Genomic DNA, 15,060 nt, shown 5'->3' with positions numbered 1-15,060 from the left:
AGAAATATTCTAGCCCCTTGCTGCACAAAAGATGGACCAACTACCAACATAATCTGGTAACTTGCCAGATATCCAGAATCTCTGCCCCTACCCTGGTCTACTAAATCAGAAAGTTCATCTTCGGTTGATCCCCCAGATCACGTTTGTGCCCATTGAAATTTAAGAAGCATTGCTTTACCCTGCTCGTGATCAAAGTGGGGCTCACATATACCAAGAGTGTCACATTGTAAGTTGCTTTTCTTGCAATTGGGAGGGATTGGCGTTGCTGCAGCAACACAATCCTCCTGGACGTTTTTGGCTGGTAGGGGTACAGTCTGGTCACAAAACAGAACAACTCTACAGAGTGAGACTTTTGCCCCATTAGCAACCATTTTAAGCAAACAGCCACAGACTTCTCTTCCATTAACCTTCTTGGTAACCTCACATTTTGTTTTCCTAACTCTACAAGAAACTTTGGAGAGGCAAGTTCAGTTAGATTCCTTGCAAAGACTTCCTCTCAGAAAAATTAATGCAAAGAATAATGTTATTCTAAACCCTCCAGAGTCTGCCAGGAAGGAGCAGAGGGGAGGAGTGAGATTGCTGGAGCCAGATCTCTATGATGTGCTAACTTAATTCAAACCACAGGACTGCATCTAAACTTGGCCAATAATTCACGAGTTAAAAATAGACGGAAAGGATATGTGGTCCAACTTAGAAGTTTTCAAAAACAATTTTGAGATGCTCAGCAAATTCACCATTCACACAGACATTTAAAAGCATCGTGGGTTGTGTTTTTATCCCATTTTGTTTCTGTAATTTCCCAAATCCATTGGATTGCCGTGGAAGAGGCCACAATCCAGATATGATTGAATACAATTCCCAAGGTTTCCAGTTGAGATGGAAATCTAGTAAAGCAACAAATGCAGTTCAGAGGAAGAAACAAGTTCAAAACTATCTATTTGAGATTTTTAAAAGAAAGGCTAACATTATTCGGATCTGTGGATACCCATTGTAATAGCAATGCCCACTAGCCAGTATGAGCCTAAGTACATCGTAGTGTAACAGGATGAGGAACCTCTTTACATCTTTCATTTAGGCAAGGTAGGCTAAGAAAGTTGCCTGTAAGACAGCAGCAAGAGCAGCATTTGTTAGTGGGCTAGAGGGATGGGAGGAAGAGCCTTCTGTCTGCCCAGTTATGGGGAGGGCTATTATGTTCTTATAAAGGTAATCATTAAGAGATGTTCCCTCAGCATCTAAGGACTATGAGATGCCAAAAGACCATAGCAAGCGCCCACCTAAGTTACCTCTAAAGTAAAAGCTTCTTGTGAATAAGGACCGCACGCCTGTTCTAGTCACCACAATGTCCCTAGCACCAAGGCCGTTGCCTAGTACATAGTTAATTCTCATTAAATATTTATCGTATGATTGAATGAATGACATCATAGTTCTAGATCAACCTAAGCATGCTAGATATACCTGATAAGTATGATAAATACTCAAACAATTTTCTATCATTATATGCATAAAGTTTCATAGAAGCCTAGAAACTAAAAACAAAAGGAAAATATATAACAAAGTCATAAAGGGGAGGGTCTGCACTAACTAGGATGGGATCACACACACTGGGAAGGGGCGGGGAAGAGGAGCACGCACTGTGGAGCTAGCAGGCTTCCATCACCTTCTTCACCATTTTTGCAAAAAAAAAAATATATATATATGTATGTATATATATATATGTATATATATGATTTTTCCATTCAGGCATTTAACATTTAGCATTTAACAAACCACTATCTATTACTGGCTACTGACTCTGTTACTGCTACTTGCATAGCATTGTTTTAGCACTGTGAGAGACAGAAGACCTCTCATTCAGCTCCTGCTTTCTGAGAACTTAGAAGTTCAGAATTCAGTTGTGGATATGAAGACTAACAAGACTAGCTGGGCACGGTGGCTCACACCTGTAATCCCAGCACTTTGGGAGTCCGAAGCGGGTGAATCACCTGAGGTTGGGAGTTTGAGACCAGACTGACCAACATGGAGAAACGTCATCTCTACTAAAAATACAAAATTAGCCGGGCATCGTGGCACATGCCTGTAATCCCAGCTACTCGGGGGGCTGAAGCAGAAGATTCGCTTGAACCCGGGAGGCGGAGGTTGTGGTGGGGTCGAGATCATGCCATTGCACTCCAGCCTGGGCAACAAGAGCAAAACTCTGTCTCAAAAAAAAAAAAAAAAAAGTAGCCGGGAGTGGTGGTATGGGAGAATTGATTGGGCCCAGGAGGTTGATGCTGCAGTGAGCTGTGATCACGCCACCACGCTCCAGCCTGGGTGACAGAGCGAGGCCCTGTCTTAACAACAACAACAACAGAAAGACTAACATTACAAAACAATGAACAATATCAGTAGGAAAGGTGTCTAAATATAATTTTTGATTAAGAGCCAAATAGGGCAACAAATGTTGAAATGGTCAAAAAATCTCTATAAAGGACATATATTTTGAGCTATCAGAGTCTCTAATGCAGAGTAGGTGCCAAATGTTTGTTTGTTGAGTAAATAAGTGAATTAATATTAAAAGGTAGGAATTGTACGACCAAAGCAATATGAAAGTTGTCTTATGGGTATAACAAATATGTACATAAAGCATAAGGCATATTTTATAGGGAAAGAGTTCATAGTGTTGCTTCATGAAATGAGGTATGGGTATAGTATAAATAACAGTTGGAAATTTGAAGCGACAGATGGCATCAATATTCAGTAGTGTTCTTCCAGGATTTTATACAAGAATATGGCTCTTAGTAAAACAGTGGGACTCTTAAGTATATGGGCTATCCTTAGAAAAAGTCCAAATTAGCTCATGAACATTGCTCACAGATTTTTAAAGGAATGACCTTGGAAGTAGTTTAGAAACCCCTTGACTTCAAGGATAACAGCAAGGACTCTTTTGTCATATATCTACAGTTCTGTTTTAAATTGGTAATATTCTTGAGCAGCCACTGCTTTTTCATCCCCAACTGTGATGGTCTCATAAGAAACATCCAATCAAGGATCAGGTAGGGAAGGAGTATCAAGGTGAGAAGTGGTCTGGGATTGGAGGGGTAAGAGGTGAGCAGGAAGGCTAAGAGTGGTGAGGAGAAAAGCATGTGACCAAGAAGCGGCTCAAATTCCACAGGGACACAGACACATAAAGCAACTTATATGTTGATACACAAAGAAGGTGGGTGCTTGAATGTTGGGTGATTGGCTTGAGTTATATAGCAAGGATAACAATAATGAAAATGATGATAATGATGACCTTCCAGTTTCCCTGGGCCCTTCAGTGTTTCTTTCTACATCAACCACTGCTGAGCCACTTCTTCATGGTTCACACTTGATTGAAAGTTTCTTCTTCCTCACAAGTACCAGGAGATGGATGAATGTAGAATAATCCAGAATTTTCTTTAAACTGTGTTCTTCTACACATCATGACCTCATCCAAGCCTGTATATAAGTATGACACATTTGATTTACTAAAGGCTTGAGGCAACTAGATAGATAGATAAGACAAACAGACAAACAGAGAGGGAGAGAGAGAGAGAGACAGCTAGAGTTATTATAAAGAATTGACTTATGAAGTTATGGAGGCTGAGAAGTCCCACAATCTGCTGTCTGCAAGCTAAAGACCCAGAAAAGACAGTGATAGAATCCTGGCACAAGTCCAAAGACCTAAGAATAAAGGGCTGCTGGTATAAGTCCTAGTACAAGAACAGGAGAACACTCATGTCTTAGCTCAAGCAATCAGAGACAGAGAGAGGTTTCAGCTTTCCTCTGCCTTTTTGTTGTATTCAAGCTTTCGAGATTTTGCGTGATTCCCCCCAGCATTGGGGAGGGCAATTTTTTTCACAGTCTACTGATTCAAATGTTAATCTCATCTAGAAATGCACTCACAGACACACCCAGAATAATGTTTGGCCAAATGTGTTGGCATCCCATGGCCCAGTCAAGTTGACAGATAAAATTAATCATCACATTTCCACCCCTCATCAACTTGGCACCTATACACCTCTCCATAAACCATACTTAATCTCCAGATAGGACAATAACCACATCATATATGCACCTAACATGATACAGCCATCCCACATACAACTGAAAACACACTAACTCCTTCCCCGGAAGAACATGTAAAGTCCTTAAGTGATGCTTACTCTTCTCCTTGATGTCCTATAACTTAAATGCTATGTATAAATTAACAATATATAAGTACTATGATATAAAGTCAATACATCTCATGTTGAATAATAAAAGCGGAAAGAAAACAAAAAAATAACAAAAGCTTTGTTTTCTTTAAACACACACACACACACACACACACACACTTTTCTTTCTTCTTTATAATATATATATCACTATGTATGTGTATTAGTCCATTTTCATACTGCTATAAAGAACTGCCCAAGACTGAGTAATTTATAAAGGAAAGGAGTTTAATTGACTCAGTTCAGCATAGCTGGGGAGGCCTCAGGAAACTTACAATCATGGCAGAAGGCAAAGGGGAAGCAAGGCACCTTCTTCTTAAGGCAGCAGGAAGGAGAAGTGCTGAGCAAACAGGAAAGAACCTCTTATAAAACCATCAGGGCTGGGCATAGTGGCTCACGCCTATAATCCCAGCACTTTGGGAGTCCAAGGCAGGTAGATCACGAGGTCAGGAGATTGAGAACAGACTGACCAACGTGCTGAAACCCCATCTCTACTAGAAATACAAAAAAGAAGATTGGCTGGGCATGGTGGCACACACCTGTAATCCCAGCTACTCAGGAGGCCAAGGCAGGAGAATCACTTGAACCTGGGGGGCGGAGGTTGCAGTGAGCAGAGATTGAGCCACCGCCCTCCAGCCTGGGTGACAAAGGGACAATCCGTCTAAAAAAAAAAAAAAAAATCAGATCTTGTGAGAGCTCACTCACTATCATGAGAACAGCATGGGGGAAACTGTGCCCATGATTCAATTACCTTCCTTGACACCTGGGGATTATGGGGATTACAATTCAAGATGAGATTTGGGTGGGGGCACAAAACCTAACCATATCATTCCATCCTTGTCGCCTCCCTAATCTCATATCCCTTTAATGTTTCAAAATCAATCATGCCTTCCCAACGGTCCCCCAAAGTCTTAATCATTCCATCATTAACCCGAAAGTCCAAGTCCAAAGTCTTATCTGAGACAAGGCAAGTCCCTTTTTAGATAAAATGGGGGTTCAGGCATTGGGTAAACACACCCATTCCAAATAGGAGAAATTGGCCAAAACAAAGGGATTACAGGCCCCGTGCAAGTCTGAAATCCAGCAGGGCAGTAATTAAACCTTAAATTTCCAAAATGATCTTTGACTCCATGTCTCACATCCAGGTCATGCTGATGCAAGAGGTGGGCTCCCATGGCCATGGGCAGCTCTACCCCTGTGGCTTTACAGGTTACAGTCCCCCTCCTGCCTGCTTTCATGGACTGGCATTGAGTGTTTGTGGCTTTTCCAGGCACGTGGTGCAAGCTGGCAGTGAATCTATCATTCTGGGGTCTGGAGGATGGTGGCCATCTTCTCTCAGCTCCACTAGGCAGTGCCCCAGTGGGGACTCTGTGTGGGAGCTCTGACCCTACATTTCCCTTCTTCATTGCCCTAGCAGAGGTTCTCCATGAGAGCTCTGTCTCTGCACGCAACTTCTGCCTAGGCATCCAGATATTTCCATACATTCTTTGAAATCTAGGTGGAGGTTCCCAAACCTCAATCCTTGACTTCTGTGCACCTGCAGGTGCAACGCCACTTGGAAGCTGCCAAGGCTTGCACCCTCTGAAGCAATAGCCTGAGCTGTACATTGGCTCCTTTTAGCCATGGCTAGGACACAGGGCACAAAGCCCTGAGACTGCACAAAGCAGCAAGGCCCTGTCCTGGCCCCAAAAACCATTTTTTCCTCCTAGATCTCCAGGCCTGTGATAGGAGGGGCTGCTGTGAAGACCTCTGACATGCCCTGAAGACATTTTCCCCATTGTCTTAGCAATTAACATTTGGTTCCTCATTACTTCTGCAAATTTGGGTTTTTCTTTTTCTTTTTTTTTTTGTTTTGTTTTGTTTTGTTTTTTGTTTTTTGTTTTTGAGACAGACTCTCACTCTGTCCCCCAGGCTGTAGTGCAGTGGCATGATCTCAGCTCACTGCAACCTCTGCCTTCAGGGTTCAAGTGATTCTCCTGCCTCAGCCTCCCAAATAGCTGGCATTACAGGCATGTACCACCACACCTGGCTAATTTTTGTATTTTTAGTAGAGACAGGGTTTCACCATGTTGGTTATGCTGGTCTCGAACTCCAGACTTCAAGTGATCCATCTGCCTCGGTCTTTCAAAGCTCTAGGATTACAACCATGAGCCACCACATCTGGCTGGAAAATGGGTTTTTCTTTTCTAGTGCATCATCAGGCTGCAAATTTTCCTAACTTGTATGCTCTGCTTCCCTTTTAAACATAAGTTCCAATCCAAACCATCTCTTTTTGAATGCATAAAACTGAATGCTTTTAAAAGCACCCACATAATCTCTTGAATGCTTTGCTGCCAAAACATTTCTTCCACCAGATACCCTAAATCATCTCTCTCAAGTTTAAAGTTCCAGAGATCTCTAGGTCAAGGGCAAAATGCCATTAGTCTCTTTGCTAAAGCATAGCAAGAGTCACCTTTATTCCAGTTCCCAACAAGTTCCTCATCTCCACCTAAGATACCTCAGCCTGGACTTCATTGCCCATATCACTATCAGCATTTTGGTCAAAGCTATTCAACAAGTCTCTAGGAAGTTCCAAACTTTCCCACGTTTTCCTGTCTTCTTCTGAGCCCTTCAAACTGTTCCAACCTCCACCTATTATCCAGTTCCAAAGTCACTTCCACATTTTTTGGTATCTTTATAGCAGCTCTCCACTCTCTGCAGTACCAATTTATTGTATTAGTCCATTTTCACACTGCTGTAAAAAACTGCCTGAGACTGGGTAATTTATAAAGGAAAGGAGTTTAATTGACTCGCAGTTCAGCACAGCTGGGGTGGCCTCAGAAAACTTACAATCAAGGTAGAAGGCAAAGGGGAAGCAAGGCACCTTCTTCACAAGGTGGCAGGAAGGAGAAGTGCTGATCAAAGGAGGAAGAGCCCCTTATAAAACCATCCGATCTCGTGAGAACTCACTCTCTATCACAAGAACAGCATGGGGGAAGCCACCTCCATTATCCAATTACCTCCACCTGGTCTCTCCCTTGACCTGTAGGGATTATGAGGATTACAATTCAAGGTGAGATTTGGGTGGGTACACAAAGCCTAACCATATCAGTATGTTATTTGTACATCTACGTATGAGGGGTCTTCAAATAGTTCATAGAAAATATGTTTTATGAAAAAACTATGTATGAATTTCAAGTTTTTTACACCAAAATAAACTCATACTAACATATCTGAAATAGACTCATACTAACATGTCTGAACAAGATCTAGTTGAAAGCACTAAGAAGCTTAAGATTTCAGTTTGAAAAGAGCCTCTATCAGAGCAACATGAATTCTGCTAAAAACAAAAACAAATGTTAAATTTATAGTCAAGCTTGAGTGAAGAATGGTGAAATCATTGATCCTTTATGAAAAGTTTATGAGCTCAATCCTGCTAAAATTGAAACAAGAACAAATATTATATTTATGGGGAAGTTTGAGTGGAAGAATGGTGAAATCGTTGATCTTTTATGAAAAGTTTATGAGCTCAACGCTCCCAAAGAAATCAGTCGTTTATCAATGAATAACTCATTTTAAGAAAGGACGAGATCACTTTGGAAATGAAGCCTGAAACAGTAGATCATCCATTTCAATTTGCAAGGAAAAAATTCAACTTGTTTATACCTTAATTGAAGAGAAATGACGATTAACAGCAGAAACAATAACCAATAACATAGACATCTCAATTGGATCAGCTTACACAAATCTGACTGAAAAATTGAAATTAAGGAAACTTTCCACTTGATGGATGCATCAAATAGTAGTTCTGTTTTAATTTATTTGAGAAATCTCCAAACTACTTTCCACAGTGGCTGCATTAATTTACATTCCCACCAATAGTATATAAGTGTTCTCTTTTCTCCACAACCTCTCCAGCATCTGTTACTTTTTGACTTTTTAGTAATAGCCACTCTGACTGATGGGAGATGGGTCTAATTGTGGTTTTTGATTTGCATTTCTCTAACGATTAGTGATGTTGAGCATTTTTTCATATGCTTATTGGTTACGGGTATGTCTCTTTAAAAGTGTCTATTCATGTCCGAGCACAGTGTCTCACTCCTGTAATCCTAGCACTTTGGGAGGCTGAGGTGGGCAGATTGCTTGAGCTCAGAAGTTCAAGACCGGCCTGGCCAATATGGTGAAACCTCATCTCTACAAAACAGTACAAAAAAGTTAGCCAGACATGATGGCATGCACCCGGAGTCCCAGCTACTTTTGGGGCTGAGGCAGAAGGATTGCTTGAACCTGGGAGGTGGAGGCTATAGTAAGTTTAGATTGCACCATTGTGCTCTAGCCTGGGTGACAAAGTGAGACCTTGTCTTGGAAAAAAAAAAAATGTGTCTGTTCATGTCCTTTGCCCATTTTTTAATGGGATTTTTTCTTGTTTATAAATTTGTTTAAGTTGCTTTTAGATTCTGGATATTAGACCTTTGTCAGATGCATAATTTGCAAACATTTTCTCCCATTCTGTAGGTCGTCTGTTTACTCTGTTGATAGTTTCTTTTGCTATGCAGGAGCTCTTTCATTTAATTAGGTACCATTTGTCAATTGCTTTGGTGTCTTTGTCATGAAAGACAACATAGGCATAGGCATATTTGTCAGGGCCTATGTCCAGAATGTTATTTCCTAGGTTATCTTCCAGGATTTTTTATAGTTTTAAGTTTTACTTTTAAGTCTTTAATCCATCTTGAGTTGATTTTTGTACATGGTGTAAGGAAGGGGTCCAGTTCCAATCTTCTGCACATTGCTAGCCAGTTATCCCACCACCATTTATTGAACAGGGAGTCCTTTCTCCATTCCTTGTTTTTGTCAACTTTGTTGAAGATCAGATGGTTGTAGGTGTGCAGCATTATTTGTGGGCTCTCTATTCTGTTCCATTGGTCTATGTGTCTGTTTTGGTACCAGTACCATGCTGTTTTGGTTACTGTAACCTTGTAGTATAGTTTGAAGTTGGGTAATGTGACGCCTTCAGCTTTGTTGTTTTTGCTTAGGATTGCTTTGGCTATTCAGGCTCTTTTGGTTTCATATAAATTTTAGAATCGTTTTTTTCTAATTCTAAAAATTTTTCTAATTTTTCTCTAATTCTGTGAAAAATGTCATTGATAAGTTGATAGGCATACCATTCAATCTGTAAATTGGTTTGGGCAGTATGGCCATTTTAACAATATTGATTCCTTCTTATCCACAAGCATGGAATGTTTTTTCATTTGTTTGTATCATCTCTGATTTCTTTCAGAAAAGAATAATAAAAGAATCTGTTTGAAAGATAATTCTCATTATAGAGCTCTTTCACCTCCCTGGTTAGCTGTATTCCTAGGTATTGCGTATGTGTGTGTCTGTGTGTGTGTATATGTATGTGTGTGTGTATGTGTATGGCTGTTGTGAATGGGATTGCGTTCTTGTTTTGGCACTCAGCTTGGATGTTGTTGGTATATAGAAATGCTACTAATTTTTGTACATTGATCTTGTATCCTGAAACTTTGCTGAAGTTGTTTACCAGATGTAGGAGCTTTGGGGCAGAGAGAATATGAGGTTTTCTAGGTATAAAATCATATCATCTGCAAACATAGATAGTTTGACTTCCTCTTTTCCTGTTTGGATGCCTTTTATTTCTTTCTCTTGCCTGATTGCTCAGTCTAGGACTTCCAGTACTATGTTGAATAGGAGTGGTGAGAGTAGGAATCTTTGTCTTGTTCCAATTCTCAGAGGGAATGCTTCCAGAATTCAGTACAGTCCTGCCTATACTGGGTTGCCCATTCAGTATGTTTTTGGCTGTGAGTTTGTCATAGATGGCTCTTATTATTTTGAGATATATTCCTTCAATGCCTAGTTTGTTTAGGGTTTTAAACATGAAGGGATGTTGAATATTATTGAAATTCTTTTCTGATCTAGTAAGATGATCATGCGGCTTTTGTTTTTAGGTCTGTGTATGTGATGAATCATATTTATTGATTGGCATATGTTGAATCAACCTTGCATGCTAGGGATAAAACCCACTTGATTATGGTGGATTAACTTTTTAATGTGCTACTAGATTCAGTTTGCTAGTATTTTGTTGAGGATTTTTGGATTTATGTTCATCAAGAATGTTGTCTTGTCACCTGAAATAAACTGTTTCTGGTGGTCTTTACTAATAGGTATTGAGAGGAAAAAGCATTTGCCAGAGCAGTAACTGCATACTATGTACCAGAGAGTGTTTTAATTTGCTCAAGGAATAAAACCATATCTGAACAACAGCTGCAATTGGAGTTGCCACCTGGTTAAGCTTACTATAATCCACTGTTATTCTCGAAGATCCACCTGTCTTCTGCCAAATTGGAAAGCATATTGGAGAGTTGAATGGAGATGTGGTGGGAATCACCACCCCTGCATCCTTCAGGTCCTTTATGACCTCTACAGTTCCCCCAGAAATGTCGTATTGCTTTTGGTTTAGTATTTTCCTAGGTAGACACAGTTCTAGTGGCTTCCACTTGGCCTTTCCCACCATAATAGCCCTTACTCCACGATTCAGGGAACCAATGTAGAGATTCTGTGAGCTGCTAAGTATGTCTATTCTAATTGTGCATCCAGAACTGGGGAAATGACCACAGGATGGCATTGGGGCCCATTAGACCCACTGTGAGATGGATCTGAGCTGAAATCCCATTGACCGCATGACCTTCAAAAGTCCCTCCTCTGACTGGCAGGCCACAGTGATATTTTGAGTCTCCTGAAATTAGTGTCAGCTCAGAGCCAATGTCCAGTAAGCCCTGAGAGGTCTGATTATTTCTCTTTTCTCAATGCACAGTTACCCTAGTAAAAAGGCCATACATCTCTTTTGGGGAAAACTGAGAGAAAGATTAACAGTATAAACATTTAGTAGGGTACCAGGGCCTTTCCTCAAGGGCTCCAGCCTCCCCTTCATTTAAGGGGTTTTAGGTTTGTAAACAGGCTCAATTCTGGGAATTAATTGAGGGATCATGATTCTCTGTTTTTATGATTCGTGTTAGACTTTTGTCACTTAACCTAGAGCTTTTCTGCTTATGCAGATTAAGAATTTCATAGGCTTCCTATCTATTTTACTTTGAGAAACGCCATGATCAACTAGCCAATGCCATAGGTTTCTATGACTCAGACAACTCTGATTGCTGCTTGGACCTCTGCTGTCCATTACAGCATAAACCAAAGAGTGACTGAGGTAGATCTTAATTGACTGCAGGTTTATTTTGCCAAGGTTGAGGATGCAACCAGGAAAAAGAAACACAGGTCACAGTGGGATCTGTGACCTGGGCTTTTTCCAAAGAGAGTTTTAGGAACTTCAGTATTTAAAGAGGACAGAGCAAGCAGAAGAGGAGGGAAATAAAGGAGAGAGGATAGGCAATGAAACAAGTGGTCACCTTTTTGTGAGGCTCTGATTAGCACTCAGTGAGTCTACATATTACATGTGGAAAGAGGGAATAGAGTTGGCCGGGCGTGGTGGCTCATGCCTATAATCCCAGCACTTTGGGAGGCTGAGGTGGGCAGATCACCTGAGGTCAGGAGTTTGAGACCAGCCTGGCCAATACGGTGAAACCCTGTCTCTACTAAAAATACAAAAATTAGCCGGGTGTGGTGGTGGGGGCCTGTAATCCCAGTTACTCGGGAGGCTGAGGCAGGAGAATTGCTTGAACCTGGGAAGCAGAGATTGCAGTGAGCCGAGATCACACCACTGCACTCCAGCCTGGGCAACAGAGCAAGACTCCGTCTCAAAAAAAAAAAAAAAAAAAAAAAAAAAAGAGGGAATAGGGGAAAAAGCAATTACACATTTCTCTCATGCCCAGTAACTCTACATATGATAAAGTCAGCATGTGAAAATACAGCTATCTGTTTGGGAACGAAAGAAGACAGCTTTTTGCATGACTCAGTTCTCAAGCTTAAATTTCCCTGTGGCATAGTGAATTTGGGGTGCCATGATTCTATTTTTTTTCCACAACAGTAACTATGCCCACCTTGTCTTTGGCAGTTGAGTACCACCACTTAGCCCTACCATCCTAGGATCCAATTATTCCCACTGCATTTAGGTTTCCCAATTCAATGACTGCAGTTCTCACTGTCTGCAGAGAAGAGCAATCACAGAACTCTTCAAAGATGCTGGGGTTCCCCTCACAGATTTATTCCTATTCCTCACGGTACTGCTAAAAGTATGTCTTCTAGACCCTCCAGTGTGGGTGAGTAGTTCTTAAATGACAAATCCACTCTGACATTCCAATCTCCCTAAGCCTTTGAATCTCTTCCACATTAAACCAAGGCAAGTCCAGTATTTCCAATTTGCTCACCCTGGGCCACTTTTTGGTCCATGTTTCAACCCACTAACCTGACTGTTAGAACACTTTATAACTGCCTGAGCTGCAACAGTAAATGCAGAATTTCTGCTTAATTAGTTAATATCAATAAATTCAACCTGATCTAACTTTATGTTCCTTTCACCATTATTTCACTCCCTTAGTATCCATTCCCATGTTTCCTGGATTTTTAGGAAGTTCAAGTAATTATTTTGGAATATAATGTACTTCATGGGTCACACTTTGCACCTCACCTTTAGGGGCTGCTGGGACTTGAGTCTAGTTATAGGTCTAGAAGCAGAGGAACAATGGTGGTGGCTCCTGAAGAGAATCAGCATTGTTGTGCACGGCAGCTGCCTCAAGGAAGGCCAATACAGTTTCCTCAGGCAATTCAGAGTCAATCTTCTCAGACTGAGGTGAAAAGGCTGCTACCACTGGAGATGGGGAGGCTGCTTCTACTAGGGATTGGGAGTCCACTTCCACTGGCAAAGAAGACTCCTCAGAGTTTAGATGCTCAGTGTCCCCCAGCTTCATCAGGGTCTTCTCACATGTCTCTATCCAATTTACAGTATCCTCTACTTTCCCAATCAATGTCCTCACTTTAACAGCAGACATCCTGTGAAGCTGGGAGTTTGACTTGCGCTGTAATTCAGGAGTTCAATTTGCATTGTAATTCAGGCAGCTGCAGCATGAGAGCCTGCATTTGATTGCAGCATCCTCAGCCTCATGGCTACAGGAGGTAAGACTCTCCTTCAGGGTACACATACACACCTCCAGGTCATCTATATGGCACCTGAGCTGGGAATTAGAATCCGTGAGCTAATCCTTTTCTTTCATCACTTTGTCCAGTGACATTAGGAGCAACCAGCCATATTCATTAAGTTTCCAAAAATGTTTGAGGGTATCATCTACACAGTCACCCAACTCCTTGCCTGTTGTGTCCAGTGATTAATTAGGAATATTCAGTGCAGCTTTTTGCATATCTCTATTACCACTTCACACCATGGACTATCAATGCTCTCTTTACTCCTAGAAATAAAGCTATTAGAATCCTTAAATTTAATCAGATTTGAGAGCCAATTCCAGAAACCCTAGAACCAATCCTCAAGTACATGGTTTCTTGTTTAGACTAGAAAATTTCAAGGACTACAGAAGTTCTTGTCAGAAAGTTCTTACCCCATGAAGGATGGTTAATTGGGTTCCAATGTTACAATGTCAGTGAGCAGGTTGTCAGCTTGAGCAAGGAAAGTTCTTCAGTGAAGTTTCACTCATGCACTGAAATGTACTGAGCACCTCCTTTGTGCCCCTCTCTGTGCTAGGCTGTAAGGACATGGAGTGGACAAAGCAGACAAAGAAAGAGTAGACAAAGACCCTGCCCTTATGAAATGTACCCTCTTGTGGAGAAATATTTTAATTTGGGTTTCCGTAAAAGCAGACCCTGAGACAATGATTCCAATGCAAGTAACTTATTGAGAAGTGCAGGAAATATCAGTAGGAACGTGGGAAAGTAATACAGGGAGGGAACAGCAGCCCATAAAAAGAACGTTATTAGACCTATTCTCACAGGTGGCAGTGGAGTTTAACCCTGAAGGAGTTTAATCCTGAAAGGGAAATGGCAAACGGAGTAAAACACCATGCCTCAGAATCATCCTATCCAAGGGCAAAGGAAGCTGGTGTTTATTATTAGATTCAACAAGCATCTACTATATGGCTATTTGACTTATCCAAAAATCTGGTTGTGCCTAGAATATAGAACTTTGTTTGAATTTAGTATATCATATTTTTATTACAAATACAAGATAATAGATACTGGTTATTAACAAGCCAAAAATACAGAGATTGATACAGAACAAGTTAGAAATCTCCTACTCTAATCACAGTGGCCTGAGGGAACCAATATTAGCAGTTTAGTACGTATCTTTCTACATCTTTTTCAGTGTTCGTCTGAATATATAAAAATAATGTATACAGTGAGTGGTTTCCGGTTTTATTAAAACACGAACAAATGAAATATATAACTTGTTTATTTCATTTAACAATAGATTAGTGACATGTCACCAGATAAATACACAGATTTATTTATGTCAGATTTTTAAATCTAGAGTACGAATTTACTACCATTTACTTAGCTGCTCCCTGAATGAGGTACATTCGGGTGATTTTTCAGGTTTTACTACATGTAATGCTACAATAAACACCCTTGTGACAGCAGACTGTTTTAATTTTATCACCACAGACACTCGAGCCTTGAAATGTCACCTTTCAAATGACGCCTTTCCCCATCCTCCCTGTCAATTGGAGAACGGAGCTGAAAGGGGAGTGAAGAAGACTGCCAACATGGATAATTACTCCACACAGCACATGGCCAGCAGCCTCCTGCTACAATATTTACATCCTATTCCATTGAGATGGCACTCTCTGCTCACATGACCCAAATGCAGTTCTCACTCCGCCAAAAGCACAGCCGAATGCGAACTGCATTGGCAGCTTTGCACATGCTCTGTCTGGCCCTGTGAATCCTC

At 40.9% G+C, this 15,060-nt stretch overlaps 1 annotated feature.

Moving 5' to 3' along the window:
* Positions 7,036-8,235: an enhancer, noted in NCBI's record as "MED14-independent group 3 enhancer chr5:55535983-55537182 (GRCh37/hg19 assembly coordinates)". NCBI's record gives its function as "activates an origin of replication core promoter dependent on BRD2, BRD4, P300/CBP and CDK7 cofactors, and independent of MED14, by STARR-seq in HCT116 cells {active_cell/tissue: HCT116}" and the evidence as "EXISTENCE:reporter gene assay evidence [ECO:0000049][PMID:35650434]".

This window comes from Homo sapiens, chromosome 5, assembly GCF_000001405.40.
Source record: "Homo sapiens chromosome 5, GRCh38.p14 Primary Assembly".
NCBI lineage: Eukaryota > Metazoa > Chordata > Mammalia > Primates > Hominidae > Homo > Homo sapiens.
The sequence above is the reverse complement of the archived record's forward strand: the minus strand, read 5'-3'. Positions and strand labels throughout refer to the sequence as shown.